Here is a 24,572-nt window from a genome sequence, read left to right on the forward strand (position 1 = left end):
TTTTAAACCCTGAAAAAGAAAAAAGTATACTTCCTGGCTGTTCTGAACTGTTCAGAATAAAGTTGGAGAGAACATAAGTGAACAGATGAACCATGAAAATCATAAACGTATGAAGACAGTGCTCTGAGAGCAGATAAGGACTCTGTTGGGGAAGGGTTCACATACCTGATACTACAACCAGATTGAACTTGTTCTTCTTTTTCATTGTCTTTGTTTTCTCATTTTGTACTTTAGCTTATGCTGATCCCTTGGAATAGGCTCTAGGCCCTGGAGTGTTCCCCTGTCTTTTTGATGTTGAAATTCTCTGTCTTAAGCTGGTATAAGATAGGCTAATCTCAGGGAGTAGAGTGAGGTGACTACCTCCTGTACAAAGTGTTCCCTCAAGCCCTCAGCTTGAATATAGCCTCCCCACTGTGCTATACCTTTTCCTTTCAAATGACACCTGACATATTTTGTGTTTAAGTTATTTATGTGCTTGTCTTACTTCCCTTACTGGCCTGTCAACTCATTGAGGGTAGTATCTGTATCTGATTCATTTATATAGTCTCAAAGTGACTAGCATAGTGTTTAATAAATGTGTTAAAGATGATAAACCCTTGCTGTGTCACTTCAAGTCAAACTAAGACTTCTTCAAACTCGGACACTTTTTAAAAAGTCATCATTTGACAGGGACAGGATTTTGATTTCCGTATTCATGTATGAGTATCAAAATGTGATTGTGGCTCACAGAGCACTCGCAGCAGGGGACAGACACTACTGCACTCTTGGTGAGAACTGCCCATGTTTGTGGTGGCTTTCCCACCGTGCTGTTAAGTCAGTATCATTGGTTGGTTCACACTGATATAATGACAGGTAGTAAGCAGAGGTCCTGCAAAATGATGTTAGATAACAGCATTTCAAGGTCAAATTCTCCTGTAAGTTTTTACCTTTTGAGAGGATGAAAACTGTAAAATTATGTCCTGCCCCAAATGGCTCTATAACTTTTTAAGCATTTTGTAGGGTATCATGTTGATAAGCATGTGCTTTTCAGGCTCTGAGATGAACTGTTTTAAAATGTGAGTTCTATTTAAAAATTTGCCATTTAAAGCACGCAGAGGCCTGGGGTGCACAGGGACCCTGGATACAGTGTAGCGACTTGCTCAGAATGAAATGCTGGTATTAGTTTATGTGGTCCCTCAATATGTGGGATTTCACCACTGCTTGGACAGAAGCTGAAGTCAGGTCCAGAAACAGATGCAATTTAGACATGTATAATCAAGTTGGATTGTGCTACTTTTATTTTTCTTTGTAAAATTCAGGCAATAGTTGCTTTTTCTTTTTGTTTTTTAAAATTTTTTTAAATTGAAAACAAAACAAAACAAAACAGATGAGGTCTCACTGTGTTGCCCAGGCTGGTCTTGAACTCCTGGGCTCAAGTGATCCTCCCACCTTGGCTTCCCAAAGTGCTGGGATTACAGGTGTGAACCACTGTACCCAGCCTGATTTTCATATTAATAGGGAAACTGATTTCTCATATATTCTGGATAATGTAACTGAAGGTTCAGGCTTTTATGTTTATTTATTTATTTTTCTCTTTAGTATCAGGGAAGGCTGTTTTAGCACCTGCTGTCTCTTTTGCATTACCCAGATTACCTGCAGTTGTTGCAAGTAGAAAAGTTTTGGTTTTGGCCATGTTTCTTAGTATATATAATACTTCTTTTTACTCGAGAGATTTGAAAATGTACCTGGCCAGAAAAATTAGGTTTTACCTGGGAGTTGTGCTTTGGAAGCTGACTTAAAGCCTGAGCAGCAGCTTTCTCCCCCAACCCCCATCCTTCTCCGTGGCCAACCTTTGGTTTGGGCATGGGCAGTCATTATCACTCTGTGAGGCTGAGACACTGCTCATGGCCCAGAGGAGTGAAGGTGGATCTTCTTGAAGGCCTTTGTCTTTTGTGCTATTCAAGTGGTCCTACTAGTGAGCAAAGTTTACAGTATTTTGTATCTCATTCCTCAGGATCCAGTTAGTTTTGTAGCCCTATCTGGCCCTGCCAAGCACACAAAGAGTCTTGCTTGTCCCTGTTTTCAGAGACTTCCTTATGTCTCTGGATGCTCTGCTAGGTCACGACCTAACTTGGACTGGGTCCTGTGTAGTCTTCCTGCTGTGCATGTGGTAGGTTCGTGAAACACACTTCATTCCTGGCACAGCAGAGGGCAGCAGTGGCAAGTCGTGAGTCTCTTCATCTTACCACCTTTCTTCCACTTGTGTCCTTACTGTCAACATGTAATTTTTAGCTTCCACACCATGCAAGACTCTTAACTTTTTATTTAATTTTATGTTCTGCATTTTGGGCAGTGCTTCTAATTTTTTCTTTTTAAGAACGTAATAATGAAACTGGAGATCTTAATTTAAAAGCCTTACAAAAAGTCATGCATAGGTAAAAATAATTCATCAAGTGAAGTGAATAAGTTTATGTGGCATTTAATTTAGGAAAAATTCTAGAAGTGTGATTATAGAGTAAAACAAACTTTTTCTTTTTTATTACTTTAATTCAAAGCTTTGGGATGCGACATCAGCAAATGAGAGGAAAAGCATTAATGTGAAACAGTTCTTCCTAAATTTGGAGGACCCTCAAGAGGATATGGAAGTGATAGTGAAGTGTTGTTCGTGGTCTGCTGATGGTGCAAGGATAATGGTGGCAGCAAAAAATAAAATCTTTGTAAGTACTTTAAAAAGCCAACTTCAGTCTGATTTAAAGAAAGTTAAAACTTCTGTTCATTTTTGCATTTTACAATGTTTATTCATAAAAATAAAGTCTAGCTGTGTGATTTTGGGCAGTCTTCCTAACCTGTCATGGTTCTTTGGAACTGTGCTCCGTGAGATAAGGATGGCCTTGTAAGGAAAGGTCTCCATGGTTACACCGTTTGGGAAATATGTTTTGTATTGCTTTCCCCTATTAGGCACACTGTATGAACTAACATATTCAGGGCCCCAGGAAGTCCTCTTACACAATTTATGCCATCGAATCCAGTGTTCCTCAAATGTATTTAAAACATAGAATGCTTTCTTCATCACTCCTTTTTTTTCTTCAATTTTGATTACATTGGTTTAGGTGATTTTTCAAAGTGTTTTCTTACACCTACAATTTTATGATTTGATGACTCTGACAGAAATGCTCATCAATGACTGAACAAGATAGTGAAATTTTTATAAAGTAAATGAGGAAAATATGAAAAAAGTAAATAAGAAAATTCTTTGCTTTTCTTCCCCACATCTAATAGTAGCTGGTATTTGTGGTATTCAGAGTGCCCTCACATATAATTTCTTTTGATATAAGTATTCAAGAAGCAGCGGGTTACAGTAGCCCTATGATAATAATGAGGCAACTGAGGTTCAGAGCAGCCAAATGATTTGTCTAAAGTTACATTGTGATTAGGAGAACCAGATCTTCTGATTTATGGCTCACTTACATTCTCATCTAATAGTGATTTCAAAAGACTTGAATGAGGGATATTACTGTTTTAAAGAGCATAATTGAAATATAAAATATGGTTATATAAGAACTCACTGAGGGATCATGTATATGATTGTTATTGATTTAGTGCTACAATCCTTGGATGTTGGTTGCTTATGAGTTTGTACCCCTTTAGCAGGAAACTAAGAGGAAAAATACCTCCCTTTAAGTTTGTTAAAATCTATAAGAACAGAAAAGAAACCACTGCATAAGCAAGACTTGAAGATTAAAACTTTTTTATTGTGATAAAATGCATATAATGTAAAAGTTGCCATTTTAACCATCTAAAAATGTGCATTTCAATGGCATTACATTCACAATGCTGTGTAGCCATTACTACTATATATTTCCAAAACTTTTTCATCACCCTAAACAGAAACTTTGTAACCATGAAGTAATAACTCCTCTTTCCCCTCTCTTGCTAGACCTTTGTAATCTCTAATGTAATCTGCGAATTTGCCTAGGTATTTCATATAAATGGAATCATATAATATCGGTCCTTTTGTGTCTGACTCATTTCATTGAGCATGTTTTCAAGGTTCATTCATGTTGTAGCATGTATCAGAACTGTATTTCTTCTTATGGCTGAATAATATTCCATTGTATGTATATATCACATTTTTTCTTTGTTTTTTTTTTTCTTACAAACCAGTGTTTATTTTCACATACAGCCTTGTTGTAACCAATGTACAGATCAAAACTCAAAATATTCCTCTTCAGAAAACTTTGAACCTTATCCCCTAGCCGACCTATAATGGTTGAATTTCTGTCAAGTATATATTTATGTATATAATGGGCTTAATTATTTAAGAGAATAACTGAGTGATTTGTGTGATCTGTGAAAAGGAATTGGACTATCATACTTGGGTTGTATATCACATTTTTTTCATCCATTCATCTGTTGATGGACACTTGGTTTGTTTCCACCTTTTGGCTACTGTGAATAATGCTGCAGCATTGGTGTACAAGTATCTATTTGAGCCTTGTGTGTTTACCTAGGAGTGGAATTACTGGGTCATATGGTAATTCTTTATTTATTTAGTTTTCTGAGGAACCACTAGATTTTTCCACAGCAGCTGCACCGTTTTACATTCCACTAGCAATGTACAAGGGTTCCAATTTCTCCACATCCTTGATAAAACTTGTTATTGTTCATTTTTAAAATTATAGCCATCCTAGTAGGTGTGAAGTGGTTTCTCCTTGTGGTTTGATTTGTGTTTTCCCAATTACCAATGATGTTGAACAAAAGATAATTTTTGAAAAGATTTTAAGAGACCTGTTCTAGTGAGAGGAAGATAATTTTATATTGCATGAAATGCCTTGTTTTAAAAATCTGTACAGCAGTTCCCTGTTTTACCATGCTAAAAGAAAGCTACCCAAAGGTGTTCCTTAACTGCATGTAGATCCCGATTTCTTACCCTTTGGTCTCTCCTTCCTCCTCCTGTTCTTTCTTTCCAATTCCTATGTGAGTCTACTCCTATTGTTAGGTCTTTTTTCTTTTACTATTCCATAATTGGGACAACTGCCTATTGTGGAATAGGCAAGTTTGCCAAGTTTCCTCGATCACTGTCAGCCACTAATTTTTTAAAAAATGACCTATCTTGGGAAGCATTTTAAATCTGATTTCCTGCCCTGTGTTTTTGGCCTCCGGCGCTACGCTGCCTACCATATGTGCATGCTTGCAGGGACTATGCATTCACTAAACATTTTTTTTTTTTTGAGATGGAGTCTCGCTCTTTCGCCCAGGCTGGAGTGCAGTGGCGCTATCTCGGTTCACTGCAAGCTCCGCCTCCTGGGTTCACGCCATTCTCCTGCCTCAGCCTCCCGAGTAGCTGGGACTACAGGCACCTGCCACCGCGCCCGGCTAATTTTTTGTATTTTTAGTGGAGACGGGGTTTCACCATGTTAGCCAGGATGGTCTCGATCTCCTGACCTCGTGATCCACCTGCCTTGGCCTCGCAAAGTGCTGGGATTACAGGCGTGAGCCACCGTGCCTGGGCTACTAAACATTTTAATAGCTCCCACTGGAAGCTTTTTTGTTTCTTTCTAAGGTCTATGTCTTGATCTTAAATCAGTATATTGTATCAATACATGTAGTAAATAAAAATCATCTTATTTGGCAAAAACTTTGGAAGAGTATATTCAGCATTTATAAATCTTAAAAATTGAAGAAACTGCGGCTGGGCGTGGTGGCTCACACCGGTAATCCCAGCACTTTGGGAGGCCAAGGTGGGCGGATCACCTGAGGTCAGGAGTTCGAGACCAGCCTGACCAACATGGAGAAACCCCGTCTCTACTAAAAATAAAAAAATTAGCTGGGCGTGGTGGTGCATGCCTATAATCCCAGCTACTTGGGAGGCTGAGGCAGGAGAATTGCTTGAACCCAGGAGGTGGAGGTTGCAGTGAGCTGAGATCGCCCCAAGCTGAGATTACGCTATTGCACTCCAGCCTGGGCAACAAGAGCAGAAGTCTGTCTCAAAAAAAAAAAAAAAAAATTGAAGAAACTTGGATTACCCAAAGTAGTTTTTTGGGGTTCAAAAACAGGAAAATGATTGACTATAATGGAGCAATTTGGTAGTTCTAGAGAGAAATAAAAATGACTGAGCTAATTTTATTTTAGCAAACCTCTGCTCTATATTATTTTGATCATCTTCATTTATGAGTATTCATTTTCTCTTTTGAATAAACAAGCATTAGGGAGAACTACTCTGTATGTTAATTGGGCCAGTCTATTCATTTATTCACAAAGCTTTTATTTCTCTTTAGGCTAGCTTGAGAGCTCATCTGTGATGAATTTTCCTTTATAGAAAATATGTTTTAAGATGAGCAGTATTTTTAAAGTATATGTATATTGATCCATATTTTGTTTATGACTGTCAATAATTATGCCAGTTATCAGTAATTGTCATATTTTTTTCAGGACTTATATTTGAAATGGGAGGATATTAGAATAGCTTATCTCTTAAAGTATTTTACCTTCATAGGTATCTCTATTTATGTTGACAGCTTTTTGACATTCATACTAGTGGCCTATTGGGAGAAATCCACACGGGCCATCACAGCACCATCCAGTACTGTGACTTCTCCCCACAAAACCATTTGGCAGTGGTTGCTTTGTCCCAGTACTGTGTAGAGGTGAGTAGTTGAATTTATTCTGTGAAGCCTGGGTTTCCAGAGATCAAAGGATGACAGAGAATGGGCAGCTTAAACCATTAACTGCTGAGGAGCCTTGCTTGAGAAATTATAGAGTATTTTCTTTATAGCCTAATGACCTCTAACTTTGGGATATTAAACCACATAGCCAGCTTTATTATTTTAACAGTGATTGCAGACTTGATTTGACAGTATGACAGGGAATTCAGCAAGCATTTGCTGAATGCCTAACATGTGCCAGGAACTGGGAAAACAATGGAATGACTGCTGGTCATGAAACATGACATCTCTTATCCAGTATAGATATGTGGCATTTCTTAAACAGTGTAGGCACAGACTCTTTTCTTCTTAAAAAAGGTGGTGAGAAATGAGTCCAGTTCAGATTTCTTAGATCATTGAGTAGGATAAGATAGGATGTTCATTGCCAGGCACTAATGAATAAAATAACTCATATAAATTACTTTTTTATGATTTTGTACTTACCTGTTAAATTTTATGTTCAGAATGTATACCTAGCTGGCCCTGGAAGAATTCCACCCAGTGAAGTGCTATATTAGTTTTTTCATAAAGTAGTGAATTATTTTTTTCCTTCAAAGATGGATTAGTGCTTTTTTTTTTTGTTTTTTAATAGAAATGGGGGTCTCACTGTGTTGCCCAGGCTGGTCTTGAACTCTTGGCCTCAAGCAATACTCCCCCAGCCTTGGCCTCCCAAAATGCTGGGATTACAGGTGTATCACCTTGCCTGGCCAAAGATAGATTAGTTTTTCCAGGCTTTCTTAGTCTTCATTCCTTAGGTTGGTTTTACCACCAGGTAGTTTGAAACCCCTTCAGATCACAGTTCCAAGAAGATGGGTATGGGCCTTTTGGAAAATAGAGAAATTCACTGGGTTCACAGGCTCCTCATCAAGGGAGCCATGACTACTGCAAGCACTTCTTCAGTGTTCTCTGCTTATTTAGCAAATTTTAGTGAGTTTGCCAGCCTTGCCCATTACTGTGAAGGTGTTGGGGGAGAGTTGCTAAGCTATAGCCCTTCAACATAGAGGCACAGGTGAGAGTGAGGGCATGAGATCCATAGGCTTCTCCTAATTCTAGGTGCAGCAGTGCATGTGACACTGAAGAACTTCCCTACTGAGACTCTTCCCATTGCACACAGAGGCAGGGAGTGTGAAAAAGCTCTAGTCCTGTATGAAACAGCGGGAAGAAGTAGGGTGCTGTGGGCAGTGTTTTGTTGGGCAGAGACTTTGAATTGGAAGTGTTTTGTTTTGTGTTACTTTGTTTTTGAGACAGAGTCTCTCTCTGTCACCCAGGCTGCAGTGTAGTGTTGTAATCTCAGCTCACTGCAACCTCCACCTCCCGGGTTCAAGCTATTCTCTTGCCTTAGCTTTCTGAGTAGCTGGGATTACAGGTGCCCACCAGCATGCCCGGCTAATTTTTTTTTGTATTTTTCATGGAGATAGGGTTTCACCATGTTGGCCAGGGTGGTCTCGAATTCCTGACCTCAAGTGATCCACCTGCCTCAGCCTCCCAAAGTGCTGGGGTTTATTGGGTTTTAGATCTCCTAGGAGATCTTGAACCTTATGTGTAGATCCTCAAAGTAAATGTGGAGCGTTTGTTAGGATTTTTAGAAACAGTACTAAGTAGCAACCCCTCTTTCAGCCTTTCTTGTCACTTCTAAAGTCCTTACCCTCTGCCATCCTTAGCAATCTCCAGGAAACAATGAAAGAGTATCTTCCTTCTTGAAATGTAGGGACTCAGCTCTGGAGGCTCTGAGTGACAAAGAAATGATGGGAGAGAGATGGGGAGAAGAAAGTGGGAAGAGAGGGGAGGATTCTCAAGGGAGATTTTCAGTTTCTTAGGAGAGATTTTCAGTTGTGGAACCACTTTCATTTTTGGCCCTTAGCTCTGTATGTCCCAGCTTGGACTCTTAGAGATAAGGCGGAGAAAATTTCATATAATTAGTTCATAACCACAGAACTCACTGAATGAAAACCAGTCACTGGGCCTATGATGAGGTACTTGTTTTGTCCATGCTAGTTCTGAAATGATAAAGTAGTTCTGTAATTTAAAGTGTAATGAGAGGAACTCAGTCACATATGGTACTTCATTAGACTTGAATATATTAGAGTAATTTACAGCAGAACCCAGGATAAAATACCAGGCTGCTGGTAGACATGGTAATAAGCATGAATAACAAGAGAAATGTGTACATGTTACAATTATTGTGTTAATTTATTGTAGGTTTTACAGTCAGTTGAAATGAAGGTTAGATGACAGTATTAGTGGAAAATAATCTGAATATGGAAGCTGCTTTTGTTCATCCTATTATTTTTTGGATTGACTTTTTTAAAGTGATAAAATATTTGCATGATTCCAAAGTCAAAGTTTTATAATGCGTTATATTCAGAGAAGTCTTGCTTTCATCCCTATCCCTTCGCCTCGCTCTCCCTCCTTCCCTGCATATGTAAACTATTTTCTGTTTTTGGCTTAACTGTCCAATATTTCTTGCATATATAAGCAGATATCTATATGCATATATATCCATACCTGTATCCTTCTATATGTTCTTGTACATATTTTTCCATCTCATATAAAAGATAGTAGTGTATAGTATATAGACTCTTCTACACTTTGCTTTTTTTCTGTTAACAATATATCCTAGAGATTTGTCGTCATCAAGGTGTTTTTCTCATTGTTTTTAATGGCTGCATGATATTCCATTATGTGATTAATGTAGTTTATTCAGTTGGTTCCCTATTGATGAGTATTTAGTTTCCTAGTATTTTGCTATAAAAAATAATGATGCACTAAATAATCTTCTGCATAAGACATTTTGTAGTTTTGATAGTGTGTTTCTGAGCAATATTCATTGAAGTGGTATTGCTGGCTCATTCTTGCTATTTTCAATATTTTTGCTCTCTTCAAAATGCTTATGTATGTGATTTCCTATATGCTGTGTTTATTCTGTAGTTGTGGAATACAGACTCACGTTCAAAGGTGGCTGATTGCAGAGGACATTTAAGTTGGGTTCATGGTGTGATGTTTTCTCCTGATGGATCATCATTTTTGACATCTTCTGATGACCAGACAATCAGGGTGAGAAATATTGAGATTTTCATTTTGAACATTTCCTGATGGTGAGCTAAACCTCCTACAAACTAAGAAATTGATGGGTAGCACTGAGGTAAGCAGAATAGGAAACTAGTACTATATTCCTATTCACCCTGGAAAAGTGCTGTTATATGGACTGTAACAGTCTCATTCATTCGTTACATGTTCATTGAGGATTACCATGGGCCAAGTGCTGTGGGAACTTCAGTGATTAAACTGTATTTTGGTTAATTTAAAATACTGCATTTGATTCCTCAGAAAAATTTTTGACCCTTTTCTTTACCTTGAATTCCTACATCCAATTACTTGCCAATTCTGAGAGAGTCTACCTTTTCATTTTCTATTATTATCTCTACCTTTCCATTTCTGCTGCCCAAGTTCAGGACTTTGTTAACTGTTACTTCTCTTGTTGTATTAGTCTCTGCCACAAGTCTTCTTTCTTGCTTTTCTGCATGCAGCTTCTAAGATATTTTTTTTTCATGTACAATGCAGTCATGTCATTTTTGCTCAAAAATAAGATAGTGGCTCCCTTGTCTACCAAAGTAAATATATACTTCTGTTTCTGCCATTAAGCTTCTCCACAGCATGGCCTTATTCTGCTCCACTCTGTCTCCCAGTTTATTCCTACAGGGAACCAACACTGGACTGCTCACATTTTCCCAAACACTCCGTAGTTCCCTGCTTCTGTGCTTTTCCTTAAGTGGTTTCTTATATTTGGAATGCTCTACTTACCTGTATCTCTGTTTGTTGAAATCCTAACCATTCTATAAGTCCCCTCAAGTCTTCTCTATTTGGGGAGAATGCCTGTCTCTCTTAATGCCATCTAATTCTATGTCATTTTCTAGTGGTGCTTATCAAATTTTGACTTGAATTTAAATACAGATATGATTTACTCCTTATTTCCAACACTCCACTGCTTCTCTGGCTCATTGACGTATCTTACATTATAAGCTCTTTGAGGCCAGGAACCCTGGCTGGTCCCCACAGCATCCTAATACAGCATTATGTATGAATTATAGCTAAAATTCATTCAGTGCTTACTATATTCAAGACATTATGCAAAGTACTATATATATATATATATATACATATAAATTTACTAATTCTCACAATAGTCCCTTTTGCAGATGAGGAAACAGGCAGAGAAAGACTGAGAAAGGTCATTGGTTCTTAACATGCCAGTCTCAATGAGCTTGAGCCAGAATATAAATCAACACATTGCTTTCTTCATCAAGAAAGTCTTCTTGAAATGAAATAAGCTGCATCACTAGACACAGTTACAGTGTGTTTAGTGATGTAGTTGATTTACGTTCTGGTACAAACTTCTTTTTGTTTTTTTGAGACGGAGTCTCGCTCTGTCGCCCAGGCTGGAGTGCAATGGCACTATCTTGGCTCACTGCAACCTCCACCTCCCAGGTTCAAGCAATTCTCCTGTCTCAGCCTCCTGAGTAGCTGGGACCACAGGTGCACACCACCATGCCCAGCCAAGTTTTGTATTTTTAGTAGAAATAGGGTTTCACCATGTTGGTCAGACGTCTTGAACTCCTGACCTCAGGTGATCTACCCGCCTTGGCCTCCCAAAGTGCTGGGATTACAGGTGTGAGCCCCTGCGCCTGGCCCAAACTTCTTACCTTGTGGATTGGTATCAAACAGTTTGATAACCAGCAGGAGGTCTTTATCTTTGAGTAACACTGGGTTAAGCAACCTGCCTGAAGTTACAACTTTAGGTAGAACTAGAATTCATACTGAGGAATTTTGGCTCTGGAGCCCATAACTCTTAATACTAACTGCATCTTACTATAGATTGTGTTAGTAAATATTTATTTTTGGATTATAATCTAATATTGAAACCTTTCTAGCATCATAGGTATTTTATGTGAAACATAGTTTGTCTCTCGCTTTAAGATGAAGACATGTTATTTTAGAGATGGAATGATAATTTCTTTATCTCTTAATCAGCTCTGGGAGACAAAGAAAGTATGTAAGAACTCTGCTGTAATGTTAAAGCAAGAAGTAGATGTTGTGTTTCAAGAAAATGAAGTGATGGTCCTTGCAGTTGACCATATAAGACGTCTGCAAGTGAGTATTTTTTAGAAAACAATTGGAAAATTGTTTTGGTTGAATTTTCTATTCACGGTTTTTCTTGTTTTTGGACTTGAGATTAAGCATAATTATTTTGTATCTAACAGGTGTCCAGCAGACATTAGTTAAATAAATATATATAAGTCTTGAGCTGAGGCTCAGATATGCTTATATTTAGAATTAAATTAGATAATTCCTCATCTCACTGCTCTTCTGTTGCTATCTATGATCACATTCTTTGATTTGCATGGAGTCTAAGAATACCATGAGGACAAACTCATGTTGTCTACAAGAGTGATTCAGACATGTCTGATGGAGTGTGCAAGGGGGATGAGCATATGGAAGCATTTTTAAAAGGGAAGGATTCCAGGGTCTTTGAAAGAACAGAAGTCACTTTAGGTGAGGAAGGAGTCTGATTGATTGGAACTGAGGTGAAAGGAGCTGGGCTTTACATACTGAAGTACACCTGTTCATTTACACACACCTTTGTTCAGTAAATATTTATTGAATGCTTATTTTGGTCCTTGAGGAGGAAAGGGTTGTATAGTACAATTGAAAGAACTGTATTGCTTAGGGATCCAAACAGCACTACTCTAGTCTGTTCTCCTTCTGCCACCCAACAAAGAGTGGGACACGTGAGAGGAAGGCATTTCTCAACTAGCTGAAGAGAGAAGGAGTCCCAAAGATCCATTGGCAGAGGAATGGTATTCAGGAGCTCGGAGTGGTGGTAACAGATGCCCTAAGAGCAGATGCCCTAAGGAGCACTGGAATTCAAGAGCAGGTTGGCATCACTGTGCTGGTGGCTAAATAAGGTGTCGTTGCATTGACAGAGATGTCCTGGAAGTGGTGATAGCGTTGTAGATAGTGGCAGCAAGAGAAAGCAGATGCCTCATGGAAGATTAAAACACAAGAGGCTATCTATATGTTGGTCAGCCCAAGCAGAACAGCAGAGTATGGACCATTGAAGGAAGTGTCAGCATGTGGAGCTGACAGCATGTCACTGTGACTTGTGGCTGAGAGAGGTGGTAAGAGCAAGCAGCCAGATAAGAAGGGCAGGAGGTGGCATGGCTTTTATGTGAACTGGTGGGACATTCTCCCTTGCCCTGAGGATTCCCTGAGACATAGGATTGAGAAGGACAGAAACCCTTTCATAGTGAGGGCTAATTTTCTTTCTTTTGTTTTTCTTTTGAGACAGTTTCTCTCTGTTGCCTAGGCTGGAGTGCAGTGGCACGATCTTGGCTCGCTGCAACCTCCACCTCCTGGGTTCAAGAGATTCTCATGCCTGAGCCTCCTGAGTAGCTGGGACTACATGTGTGCTACCACGCATGGCTAATTTTTGTAATTTTAGTAGAGACAGGCTTGTGCCATGTTGGCCTGGCTGGTCTTGAACACCTGACCTCAAGTGATCCACCCACCTCGGCCTCCCAAAGAGCTGGGATTATAGGTGTGAGCCACCGTGCCCGGCCTAAGGGTTTTTTTTTTTTTTTTTTTGTATTTTTAGTAGAGATGAAACTATTTTCTCATAGTATATTTAGGGCCTTTCATTAGCTCTTGAAGAGCACGAATACAGCTTGAGTTAACTTTTTCCATATGGGTTTTAGAAGTGCTTTATTAACTTCTAGGGAAAGGTTTTGGCAGTGATAACATAGTCTTATGCCATCTTTTCGTTTGATTTTTCTTGATTTGCTTATTGAAAGATAGGGAGCATGAATGTGTGTGAGAGAGTGAAATGAGATAGTGATGTCAAGCTAGAGAGGAGAGAGAGGAGCAGAATAGAGAAGACGAGAGTAATAGAGCACATGTGTGGAAGGTCTGAGAGGAAGCAGACAATTGAGACAGATGGACAGAGGGTAGGACAGAGTTTAATGAGTTGTCATTCAAAAAATTTTTTTTTGTAGAGATGGGGGCATCTCACTATGTTGACCACGCTGGTCTTGAACTCCTGGCCTCAAGTGCTCCTCCTGCCTCAGCCTCCCAGAATGCTGGGATTACAGGCAAGAGCTGCCATGCCCCACTCAAACCTTAACAAGTTGTAAAGCTGTAGAGCTCAGCTTGGTGTAGTGGAGAGAATAGTGACTTTTCACTAAGGAGACCTAGGTGTAAGTTCAGACTTCTTTATCAACTAGTTCTATGATGTTGAATAAATTGTATCACGTCTTTGAGCCTCAGTTTGTAAAGGTCCTTTTCATCTTTACAGTCTCTGAGCTAGTTACAGGGTCAAAGTAGAATCCAAATTCAGGAGTAGATACTGGGAGTAAATCGCCTGGTATGTGGTAACTTCTTGTTTACTGTGGGTGTCAAAATCAAGCTGTAAGTCACCTCTGAATATGGCTTGCTTTGATTTTACAAGTTTTACTATTGTCCTCAATATGCTGATTAGGAGCTCCTAATGCACAGTACTTCTGGGGTGAATTGGGATATGGAATTCAATGTGAATTTCTCATTAACTGTTTTTTAGAAAGCTGATTCTTCCACTTGGGATATTTCTACTTCAGTTTTCTTGACAAATTTAGTGTCCTCATGCTTGTATTTCCTTTATTAAATTTGTGCAACCTTTCTTTAATGACTGTTGTAACTGTGAGACTTAAAAAGTCATCTGTCTATAAAGGTATCATTCTATGTCAGTGGTTGTGGGAGAGTTTAGAGGATAAACTTAATAGTTTCATTTAAGTGAATAAAACATTTTTTAGTTACTACTTAAAGAATTCTTGAAATTGATTTTTGAGAGAAGATGTTCAGCTCTTCGTAGTTCAATTTTCATTTTGAATATCTAATAGATCAAAATGTGCTATGTAAAATAATGTTAAGGAAAAACTACCTGTGATTGGTTGACTCTGTAATCTTTGTACTAGAAACAAAGATGCCTGCCTATTTCATGTTGAAAAATAATTCAAGAATTTTAGTTTATGACACTAAGAGAGAGGTATCTGACAACTGATTTAAGCTTGAGAAATATTTTCCCAGGTCACATGTTTTAGATGAGTGATAAGGCATCATAATTCATGGGATTTAAGCATTGGTACAGATTATGAAATTAGGTAATCTTTGTTCAAGCATTGTAAATCCAGCTACACAAATTATGCTTATGAGTTCTTCTCCATTGTCCTCACTGCCCCAGCTCCAAGAAAAAGAATCTTAATTTACACTGTTTTGTGAGTGATTTGGAGGATATAAGCCCCATTTTAATTTGTCTTTTTATGTCTGTCTCAGTCTTGTTTGACCAACAGCTTTGAAATGTAGCAGAAAAGTATATTTTAACAAATGATAGCCCTATTAAAAGTGGGCTTTGTGAAGAAATGGTGTGGAGCTAGCTGTGGGATTACAAATCAGATAGATGTGTCTCAGGTGGCGGGCGCAGCAGCTGCTTTTTAAACCTTGTAATGCTTGTTTTATTTTATGAAAATGTATTTGAACCACCAAAGTGGATTGAAATGAAAGTGTGAAGTGCTAAATGCAGCTGCTAAGACTAGGATATGGCTTGTTGTTCCCCTGAGAGCTCTTGTTGGTTATTTTCTGTGTTTTATTTTATTTTTTTCAATTGAAGCCTCTGTTCTGACGAACAAAAACTGCTCTTACAGCCTAATAACTGATTTTGCCTCATTTTTCATTAGCTCATTAATGGAAGAACAGGTCAGATTGATTATCTGACTGAAGCTCAAGTTAGCTGCTGTTGCTTAAGTCCACATCTTCAGTACATTGCATTTGGAGATGAAAATGGAGCCATTGAGGTATTCAGTGCTAGTCTTCAGAATCTTTCTGTACAGAATTAAATAAAACTAATTATATGTCTGGCATTGTGCACTTCTATTTTTATTTATTTTTATTTTTGAAATGGGGTCTTGCTGTGTCACCCACGCTGAGTACAGTGACACGATCACAGCCGACTGCAGCCTTGACCTTCTGAGCTCAAGTGATTTTCCCACTTAAGCCTCCTGAGTAGCTGGGACTAAAGGTGTACGTCACCATGCCCGACTAATTTTTTTTTTTTGTAGAGATGGGGTCCCCTGTGTTGCCCAGGCTGGTCTCAAACTCCTGGGTTTAAGCGATTGTCCGGCCTCAGCCTCCCAAAGTGTGGGGATTATAGGCATGGGAGCTTTTGTGCCTGGCTATTGTATACCTTTTTTTTTTGAATCAGGATCTCACCTTGTTGCACAGGCTGGAGTGCAGTGGTACAATCTTGGCTCACTGCAGCCTTTGCCTCCCAGGCTCAAGCAATCCTCCCACCACAGCCTGCTGAGTAACTGGGACTTCAGGTATGCACCACCACACCTAGCTAATTTTTCTGTTTTTGTAGAGATGGAGGTTTCACCAGTGTTGCCCAGGCTGGCCTTAAACTCTTGGGCTCAAGTGATCTACCCATCTTGGCCTCCCAGAGTGTTGGGATTACAGGCATGAGCCACCACATCCAGCCTATTGTACACTTTTATACTAAATAAATCTTTCTGTGATCTATTAGTCATTGTTCGTTAAACTAACAATCATCTTATCCAGTTGGCTGTATATTTTTCAGATTTCCTTTATTACTGTTTCTCATGCTTTTTGTCTTTTTATGTCCCTTATTCTCTACTTAGTTGTTTGGCTGTTCTCCACATATATCAAATACTATCTATCAAGATTTCGCTAACTATGCAAAGAGCATTTTTTTCTCCTCTTCTTAGAAGCCCAGCCATGTGGGGTATAAGTTGTTTCCATTTCGGTACTGATAAGGCTCATGGGGAATATGGGTGCAGGGCTGCCTGTGCTTGCCTGTTCCACCAATCCTTGCTGTTCTACTTTTGGTGGCAGAAGAACCTCAGTTCACCACCTGAAATCCTTAATTTATCTAACAAGACCAAATAGGTAAAAATAGAAACACTTTGCAAGGCAAAAATGTAGTATAATAAAAGGCATTTTGGGTAAAAATATTGTTGTCTTTATCACAAGTGAAATTCATCCCAAAAGCACATTTTCTCTAGCTTTATAGTGGTTTTTCAAAAACCTTGGTTCCTTCTCTCACTTTTTCTCACCAGGTGTCTGGGAATTATTTTTTAACCAATTACTTATGGCACTGGCCACAGTTATTTTACTTTGGATTCATTTTCATAAGGAATTACACAAATATTCTCTAGTCCATATGGCCCCACAGAGAAGAGACTATATGCTTAGACACAAAGTGAAGAAGGAAGCATTTACACAGTGATCTCAATACTCTTATATATTTGTCATGGCCCTTATGTCATGGATTGAGAGTTCAGGCTTTGTTTTCTCTTTATTATTGTGAAAAATTTATTTATCATTTGTTAAGATGTGTACTATTCTGGGATAAAGTACATCATGGATATGTATTTCTTAAGCAAGGGATAATTGTATGTTTACAGGTGAACCTTAGGCTTCCATCTCAGGCTCATCTCTCAAACTGTTGTGTATTATTATTTATTCTTAAAGAGTCCTTGGTTTCCCTTTTCTCTTTACCTTGATGCCAAGTCAGTACCACATTCTTTTCATTTTTACCATCTATCTTAAAATAAGTCTTTTAGATAGTTTAAAAATAAACTCACAACACACATATGTGCTTCATCCACATCGTTAGTTCCCTCAAAGTCATCAAATAATATAAATAATACATAATGAACCATGTGAAATTACCAGCATTTACCTATAAAGTGGCAGTTTCATATGGTGTAGCCTCATATCATCAAATAATAGCAACTACCATTTATTAACTGTTTACTGTGCCAGATGCTCTCATTGAATTCTTATAACATCCTGGATGTTCGATGTTGTTATTCTTGTTTTAAAGATGTCTAAACTCTTATTTCCACAATTTTCATAAAATCAGTAAGTGGCAGAGCTAGGATTCAAACCCAGATCTCTGAGGCTGTGTGCTCAACTGTTATGCTATCCTGCCCTTGCCTCAGGGTTTGTGAGATCGTTCATCCCGCTCATTTAGGAAGGTTTCCATTCACACAATTCCCCTTTGTTTTCAAGGGGCTTTTCTTCCAGACGTGGGTTAGGTTTGAGTTTCTGGTGTCTCCTGCTTTAGCATCATCTGTATTTTCCTTAGGCTTTCTTGAGTACATTTTAATTTGGTCAATGAAACATATTTCCTCTCTTTTTGTTTTTTTGGTATGAGTTCATTTGAAAGCCTTTTTTTTTCTTTTTTTTTTTTTGACATAGTCATTATCTTTTGAATTTGTTACTACTTTTATTTAGAGTATTATTAGTCTTTGGCCCTCTTAAGTATTCTCATTGCACTGCCCACCAGCCTTCTGATATCCTGTCTCCCTCATCATCTTTTATCTTTCCTTGTTTGTGTTGTTTTATGAATAATTTGCCTTCTCATCCAGGACTTACTTACTTTCTTCTCTCTTATCCATCTTAAATGTCTTTTTTTTTTTTTTTGGAGGGCAAGCCCAGACAGCCACTTGTTTGATGAAGTGGGTAGTTGAGTACTCAGAAGGACCACTGGTTCCTACTGCTGTCTGATGATTGCAGTGAGTGTTTTATTTTAGGGTCCAATATGTTTGCATGTAGGCATACATGGTGTGCATATATATATATATATATATATATATATATATATATATATATATATGACATTCATTTGTTTTTAATTAGGCTGGAAGCACCAGATGGAAATTCTGTACCCTCCAGTCTAATTTTAGTTTAATATCTTTGGGGTGTAATGCCTATGTATTGCTTAGTTTCTTCTTAATTTTCTGTGTTTTTCTGCTTTGAAGATTTTAGAACTTGTAAACAATAGAATCTTCCAGTCCAGGTTTCAGCACAAGAAAACTGTATGGCACATCCAGTTCACAGCCGATGAGAAGACTCTTATTTCAAGTTCTGATGATGCTGAAATTCAGGTGAGAGGGAGGATGAACTCTTAACATATTTAATGCTGATTCTAGCAAAGGAACACTATGATTATGCCTAAAATCTGGTGTATATTTTAAACACATTACGTTGGGCATACATTCAGATTATGTACATGGGCTTAGATGAAACCTATGGGTGTTTCATATTTTTCTGTGGGTGAGGCAGACAGTTTATCTTAGAATCCTCTGTTGGAAGGTTGTTTATTTTGAAAATGAAGGGTTTGTTTGCATTTTCTTGCCTGTCTTGGTATTTGGATTTGTATCAGTAAGTATACTTTTTGCCACATTTATGTAATTTCTCTTTATTTTTCTTTACAGTAGTAAAATCCAATGGAAATCATTTCATTCTTTCCTTTTAAGAACAAAATGTTTATTACAGGAATGAAATTCTGTGAAAAGAGAATGGTTTGACATAATAAAGAATTGTGGATATGGAGGCCTAAACTTACTATATATTCTTTTAAAATTTACTTGATTATTAAAGTCCCAATGCACATTCTTTTAAAATTCAAATAGTATTACAAGACTTATTATGAAAAACAGACCCTTTCCCCCATTTCTCGTTCTCCAGAGGCACCACTTTTAGCTTTTAGATGATTCTTTTGATATTACCTTCATGCCTCTATATGGCATGCTTATAGTGCTCTTCTTGATTTTCCCATTTGAGAAGTTATCTACCGAATTCCCTACAGGAAGATGTTGCTTTTTTCCGCCTTCCACCTGTCCTGCCTTCAGCTTATGTGCATGCACACGTTCACAGACACTCATTTATCAATCCATTTATCCCAATTATAACGAAATTTTGTTTAGATCCTTCCTGTTACTATGATCACTGTGTACTAAGGGTACTGTGAATGCATTTTTTGCCTTAACGCAATTTAGGAAAATTTGACCTTTGGGTGTAGTTGGAAATTATTTTACACTAAAACTTTGAAGACATTGCTCCATTTTCTTCCAAGTTCCAAAGTTCACGTTGAAAAGTCTGAAGCCATTTTGCTGCCTAATCTTTCTCTCTGGAAGATTTTAGGATCTTCATTTTATCCCCAGAATCTTGAAATTTCCTGATGATACACTGTGTTGTTAGTTTTTATTCATTGTTTTGGATATTCAGTCTTCCTTTTCAATTTGGAAACCTATGATTTTTAATTCATGGAAGTTGAATTATTTCTTTGATTCTTTCCTTTTTGTTCCAGTTTGCTTTCTCTTTTTGTAACACCCATTATTCAGATGTTAGATCTCCCGGACTGATAATCTAGTTTTCTTTTTCCACATTTCATCTTTCTATAGTGTGCTTTATGTTTTTTTCTTTATTTTTTTTTGAGATGGAGTCTCACTCTGTCACCCAGGCTGGAGTGCAGTGGCGCGATCTTGGCTCACTGTAACCTCTGCCTCCTGGGTTCAGGCAATTCTCCTGGCTCAGCCTCCTGAGTAGCTGGGATTACAGCCGTATGCCACCATGCCAAGCTAATTTTTTGTATTTTTTTTAGTAGAGATGAGATTCCACCATGCTGGCCAGGCTGGTCTTGAACTCCTGACCTTGTGATCCGCCCGCCTCGGCCTCCCAAAGTGCTGGGATTACAGGCATGAGCCCCCGCACCTGGCCTACTGTGCTCTATTTTTGGGGAGTTTTCCTCAGTTTTGCCTTCCAGCCATTTTATTGAGTTTTTCATTTCTACTAGTATATTTCTAATGTGTTAAATTCTTATTTTGTAGATAGAATATTTTATCTCTCTGAGGAGATATACACACAGACAGGTAAATATATATAATATATATATAGAAATTATATACACACACACACACATATAATTTTTTTTTGTTTTTTTTTGAGACGGAGTTTCACTCTTGTTGCCTAGGCTGGAGTGCAATGGTGCGACCTTGGCTTGCTGCAACCTCCGCCTCCTGGGTTCAAGCGATTCTCCTGCCTCAGCCTCCTGAGTATCTGGGATTGCAGGCATGCACAACCACACCCTGCTAATTTTTGTATATTTAGTAGAGATGGGGTTTCTTCATGTTGGTCAGGCTGGTCTTGAACTCTGGACCTCAGGTGATCCACCCACCTTGGCCTCCCAATGTGCTGGGATTACAGGCATGAGCCACTGTGCCTGGCTTATATATATAATTTTTTCCCCATAAATTTTTGTTTTGCTGCATAGTTGCTGTTCCCTCCAAGTTGCTTTTTTCTGTTTGGTTGTTTTGACCTCCTATTTTGAAGGCCTCCTTAGCTCTCAGTGGTCATTGGCTATCAGAGATCTGTACTGAACAACTGGCTGAAAGCTCTGTGTGTTGACTGAGATCTTCTCTAAAAGGTGAATCTGAAAGGGGAAACTTTGTTGTGAGTATCTTCAGGTCTTTTGTCTTGGTCTCCTCAGATTCCTAGAGAGGAATTTTCTGGTCTTTTGCCTGGAGGATAAACCTGGCTGGCAGGTTCTCAGAGCTAAGTTGGGGAAGATAACAGGAAGTATTAATAGATGTTGGATCTCAACATTTAGTATGTACACCTTCCCTTGATCCCTCATTCTCAGAATTGTAATTCTACCCTCAGTTGTGCTGGTGCCCTTAAATTCAGAGATTCTTCTTTCTAGTTTGCTGTCACTGTCTGTCTACTTTCTTCCTTTTTTTCCCATAGTAACTTTGGGATTCAACAGCAATTCTTTTCTTTTCTTTTTCTTTCTTTTTTTTCTTTTTGAGACAGTCTTGCTCTATTGCCTAGGCCGGAGTGCAGTGGTGCAATCTCGGCTCACTGAAACCTCCACCTCCGAGGTTCAAGTGATTCTTCTGCTTCAGCCTCCTGAGTAGCTGGGATTACAGGCACCTGCCATCACATGCAGCTAATTTTTTTGTATTTTTAGTAGAGACAAGGTTTCACGATGTTGGCCAGGCTGGTCTTGAACTCCTGATCTCAAGTGATCTCACCTTGGCCTCCCAAAGTGCTGGGATTACAGGTGTGAGCCACCGTGCCCGGCCTTCTTTTTTATGTAAAATCAAGTTTCCTAAACTCCTTGGAGGAGTGGGGAAGTCCAGCATTTCTAGCTTCACAGCTCTGCAGCTCGTTCTCTTATTTTCACGAGGCATTAAAAATATGGCCTTACTGGGCGCAGCGGCTCACACCTTTAATCCCAGCACTTTGGGAGTCTGAGGTGGGAGGATTGCTTGAGGCAGGAGTTAGAGACCAGCCTGGGCAACATAGCGAGACCCCATCTCTGCAAAACAAAATAATTTAGCCAGGTGTGGTAGTGCATGCCTATAATCCCAGCTACTCAGGAGGCTGAGGTTGGAGGATCGCTTGAGCCTAGGAGGTCCAGGCTGGAGTGAGCTATGATCATGCTACCGCACTCCAGCCTGGGCAACAGAGCAAGTCCCCATCTCAAATATATAATGGCCTTGTTCTTAGGAGATCTCTTTGCCCCATCTCCTTCCCTCTCAGTTATTTCGACCTTCTCTTTCCTTTGATGCCCTTATCCTCGTTCTACTCCATTGGATTCTATTCCCTGTGGTTTCTCCTCACTGTAGGGTTGTTCTGGTTAATTTTGAGAGCTCACAAGGCTCACACTGCTCCAGTCCTTCCAGACTGTACCTCACACTCAGTGTCTCCTGCTCTTCTCTAGTTGTTCCATTGCACTTTTCGGTGAACACTGTGTGGCTATCTTAGGATTCTCTGCCTCCTAATTCTTAATACTTATATTCTTAGCCCCACCCTCATTTCCTCCTTTGGGTATACTTAGTGCCTTCCATTTTTGAGCATTTTGGGAGTTCATAATGCCGATTTTGTTGCTTTAGACTTTTTCTTTTCTTTTCTTTTTTTTGAGACAGTCTTGCTCTGTTGCCAGGCTGGAGTGCAGTGGCATGATCTTGGCTCACTGCAGCCTCCGCCTCCTGGGTTCAAGCAATTCCCCTGCCTCAGCCTCCTGAGTAGCTGGGACTACAGGCCCGTGCCACCATTTCCGGCTAATTTTTTTTTTTTTTTTTAGTAGAGTTGGGGTTTCACCATGTTGGCCAGGATGGTCTCGATCTCTTGACCTTGTGATCCTCCCGCCTCAGCCTCCCAAAGTGCTGGGATTACAAGCGTAAGCCACCACGCCTGGCCACTTTTGACTTTTTATAATGCCTTTAGGATTCTGTTTTCTTGACTTTGCTGAGTCAGTTACCATTCTCTTGCTTTCCAGCCTCCCACATTTTGTTGCTGTTATCTCCTTTCTCATTCTTTTGATCTTGCCATTTTAGTAGGGCTTTAGAAGTGAAGGATAGAATGCATATGTTCAGTGGAAATTATTATATTCTTTTATTTAGTATATATATTAATTGTGGTGGCAATATTTAATTGTATTGTTAAAAACCCTTTTGGGAAAAAGATCTTTTAATGTTATGTCTGTGTGAGTCCTAGGAAGCAGTATGATTGCAATGAAATTTGGCTTTAGTACAGAAACTTACTTGTTATAGGCTCCCATGACACTGGTGTTCTAGCTGTAAAACTCAGTGTAATAGTCACCTTTCTTCCTCTCCAGATGTCTTTGGAATGGGTAAAACTAAAAACTACATCTGATGAAGTTCTTTTGAGACATTGTATACTATGTATTCTATCAAAAGTTAAATTCATAAGGTTTTTATGACCAGCTTGACGATTTCAGGTATTCTCAGCTAGGGGGAAGAATAATTTCTAGAGATATTTTTAGAAAAGGAGTTAGATTATATTTAGAAATATGAGTTAAGTAGTTGTGTTTCTTCCTCTTTTTCTGTTCTACTCAGAATACTTTTTACATTTACAGTGTTTTAAATGTAACAAAACTCTATAGATATTTTCGAGAAATGACTGGTTGGGTTTTGTTTTCATTTTTTAAGGTTTTTGTAAATGATTAAGTGGAGGTTTGTTTTAATTATCTTTGTATCCCCAAAGCCTGGAATCCAGTAAGGGTTCTGTAAATCTTTGCTGAGCTGAAGTTATTGCCAAACTTTGAAGAATCAGCTCACCTGATTATAGCCCTTAGGATTGTGAACATTGAGGTCTACTTTGGTAGTTTTTGATCCTTTACCTTGAAGTAAATAAAGGCCAAGTATTACCCATGCTTACATGAGCCAGTATATAGGACTATGTTAGTTCTTGCTGGTATGAAAAGTTTCCAGCCGGGTGCGGTGGCTCACGCCTGTAATCCCGGCACTTTGGGAGGCCGAGGCGGGCGGATCACGAGGTCAGGAGATCGAGACCATCCTGGCTAACACGGTGAAACCCCATCTCTACTAAAAAATACAAAAAAATTAGCCAGGCGTGGTGACAGGCACCTGTAGTCCCAGCTACTCAGGAGGCTGAGGCAGGAGAATGGCATGAATCTGGGAGGCGAAGCTTGCAGTGAGCTGAGATCCCGCCACTACACTCCAGCCTGGGCGACAGAGCAAGACTCTGTCTCAAAAAAAAAGAAAAAAAAAATTTCCTTAACATTTCTACAATTTAAATTTTATTCATATAGCTGAAAAAAATTCTACAAGTATATATACATTGCAAAAATAGTCAATGATAGAGACATCCCCAAACTCAACTTTTGCATTTGACTAATGGTGGTGGAAGTTTAGTGATATTAAGGTTATTCAATTAGCACAGTGTGTTTCCGTGCAACAACAACAACAACAACAAATCACTCATCATCATTGCCTAGTCAGAAACCTTCTGTAACAAAAGCTGCAAAGGCTATTCTTAATCTGCCCTCAGTGGTTGTCAAATTCTTTGTTATATCTGCTCCAGAAGGCTGTCTGAGTTCTTGATGCAGAGGGCAGAAGTAAGATACTAAGTTAGAAATGAACATTGAATCAGGCAAAGCTAGAATAGGCAGTGTCTGTAAACTAGGAGGAGCTGTTCAGCATAGCCATTGATCCTCCAGTCCAGTGAAGC

The 24,572-nt window shown here is 38.9% G+C and overlaps 1 protein-coding gene across 7 annotated transcripts in view, besides 4 other annotated features; it reads left to right on the top strand.

The window, feature by feature from the left end:
* Positions 1 to 24,572, top strand: part of APAF1 (apoptotic peptidase activating factor 1) — a 90,144-nt gene that overhangs the window by 51,584 nt on the left and 13,988 nt on the right. For 3 of the 7 annotated variants that reach the window (NM_181861.2, NM_013229.3, XM_047428758.1), the window contains 6 exons: positions 2,535 to 2,696; positions 6,498 to 6,626; positions 9,612 to 9,737; positions 11,712 to 11,831; positions 15,446 to 15,562; positions 18,554 to 18,679. The exons of 1 other annotated variant lie outside the window; for it this stretch is intronic. In NM_181861.2, the coding sequence (NP_863651.1) occupies positions 2,535 to 2,696; positions 6,498 to 6,626; positions 9,612 to 9,737; positions 11,712 to 11,831; positions 15,446 to 15,562; positions 18,554 to 18,679 (780 nt within the window). Of the gene's footprint in view, positions 1 to 2,534; positions 2,697 to 6,497; positions 6,627 to 9,611; positions 9,738 to 11,711; positions 11,832 to 15,445; positions 15,563 to 18,553; positions 18,680 to 24,572 lie in introns of those variants that run through there. 3 more of the 7 variants (NM_181868.2, NM_001160.3, XM_047428759.1) reach the window with 2 other exon arrangements.
* Positions 2,101 to 2,270: an enhancer, noted in NCBI's record as "experimental_31421 CRE fragment used in MPRA reporter constructs". NCBI's record gives its function as "activates a minimal promoter by MPRAs in K562 erythroleukemia cells, with activity observed for the non-introgressed 12:99092837 or rs76211385 variant allele {active_cell/tissue: K562}" and the evidence as "EXISTENCE:reporter gene assay evidence [ECO:0000049][PMID:34662402]".
* Positions 2,183 to 2,252: a silencer, noted in NCBI's record as "silent region_4757". NCBI's record gives its function as "represses an Ori minimal core promoter by ATAC-STARR-seq in GM12878 lymphoblastoid cells {active_cell/tissue: GM12878}" and the evidence as "EXISTENCE:reporter gene assay evidence [ECO:0000049][PMID:35858748]".
* Position 2,186: a transcriptional cis regulatory region, noted in NCBI's record as "Neanderthal adaptively introgressed variant 12:99092837 (GRCh37/hg19 assembly coordinates) or rs76211385 in the experimental_31421 CRE". NCBI's record gives its function as "modulates activity of the experimental_31421 enhancer by MPRAs in K562 erythroleukemia cells {active_cell/tissue: K562}" and the evidence as "EXISTENCE:reporter gene assay evidence [ECO:0000049][PMID:34662402]".
* Positions 20,844 to 21,044: a silencer, noted in NCBI's record as "peak1909 fragment used in MPRA reporter construct". NCBI's record gives its function as "represses an SCP1 promoter by STARR-seq MPRAs in K562 erythroleukemia cells {active_cell/tissue: K562}" and the evidence as "EXISTENCE:reporter gene assay evidence [ECO:0000049][PMID:32103011]".

This window comes from Homo sapiens, chromosome 12 (genome assembly GCF_000001405.40).
Source record: "Homo sapiens chromosome 12, GRCh38.p14 Primary Assembly".
NCBI classification, from domain to species: Eukaryota; Metazoa; Chordata; class Mammalia; order Primates; family Hominidae; genus Homo; species Homo sapiens.